Here is a 1,333-nt window from a genome sequence, read left to right as displayed (position 1 = left end):
CAAACTGGGAAGGGAAGGAAATTATAAGAATATGTATAAGTACAAATGGAATATGTTGGAAATGAGGAATAGTTAATATCACAGGTCATTTAAACACCTGATGAATTTCATGGATAGTCAGGAATCTTGTTCTTACCTAATCTGTTAATTTTAGATCAGACATTACACTGAAAGTATTGATGATGGGTTTAAATCAGGTTGCAGCTCACATGTTGTGATAATATTATGTTGATTTTTTGTTTTTAATATGTGAGGAACAGAATAACTGTATACTATTTATTCATAGTGACATTGCAATATTGATTTTAGTACATATTATTATCTTCATAATCACAATTTCCTCCCCATTTTCTTAGTTCTCATAATTTTAGCCACAGCCCAGTTGGCTGGACCAATGGATGGAGAGAATCACTCAGTGGTATCTGAGTTTTTGTTTCTGGGACTCACTCATTCATGGGAGATCCAGCTCCTCCTCCTAGTGTTTTCCTCTGTGCTCTATGTGGCAAGCATTACTGGAAACATCCTCATTGTGTTTTCTGTGACCACTGACCCTCACTTACACTCCCCCATGTACTTTCTACTGGCCAGTCTCTCCTTCATTGACTTAGGAGCCTGCTCTGTCACTTCTCCCAAGATGATTTATGACCTGTTCAGAAAGCGCAAAGTCATCTCCTTTGGAGGCTGCATCGCTCAAATCTTCTTCATCCACGTCGTTGGTGGTGTGGAGATGGTGCTGCTCATAGCCATGGCCTTTGACAGATATGTGGCCCTATGTAAGCCCCTCCACTATCTGACCATTATGAGCCCAAGAATGTGCCTTTCATTTCTGGCTGTTGCCTGGACCCTTGGTGTCAGTCACTCCCTGTTCCAACTGGCATTTCTTGTTAATTTAGCCTTCTGTGGCCCTAATGTGTTGGACAGCTTCTACTGTGACCTTCCTCGGCTTCTCAGACTAGCCTGTACCGACACCTACAGATTGCAGTTCATGGTCACTGTTAACAGTGGGTTTATCTGTGTGGGTACTTTCTTCATACTTCTAATCTCCTACGTCTTCATCCTGTTTACTGTTTGGAAACATTCCTCAGGTGGTTCATCCAAGGCCCTTTCCACTCTTTCAGCTCACAGCACAGTGGTCCTTTTGTTCTTTGGTCCACCCATGTTTGTGTATACACGGCCACACCCTAATTCACAGATGGACAAGTTTCTGGCTATTTTTGATGCAGTTCTCACTCCTTTTCTGAATCCAGTTGTCTATACATTCAGGAATAAGGAGATGAAGGCAGCAATAAAGAGAGTATGCAAACAGCTAGTGATTTACAAGAGGATCTCATAA

At 41.6% G+C, this 1,333-nt stretch overlaps 1 protein-coding gene across 1 annotated transcript; it reads left to right on the top strand.

Moving 5' to 3' along the window:
* Positions 1-394: 394 nt before the first annotated feature.
* OR4F29 (olfactory receptor family 4 subfamily F member 29) lies at positions 395-1,333 on the top strand. The gene has a single exon (NM_001005221.2). It carries the CDS (start codon positions 395-397, stop codon positions 1,331-1,333), a length of 939 nt encoding a protein of 312 aa, NP_001005221.2.

This window comes from Homo sapiens, chromosome 1, assembly GCF_000001405.40.
Source record: "Homo sapiens chromosome 1, GRCh38.p14 Primary Assembly".
Classification (NCBI taxonomy): domain Eukaryota; kingdom Metazoa; phylum Chordata; class Mammalia; order Primates; family Hominidae; genus Homo; species Homo sapiens.
Note: the sequence above shows the minus strand (reverse complement) of the source record. Positions and strands in the feature narration are given on the sequence as shown.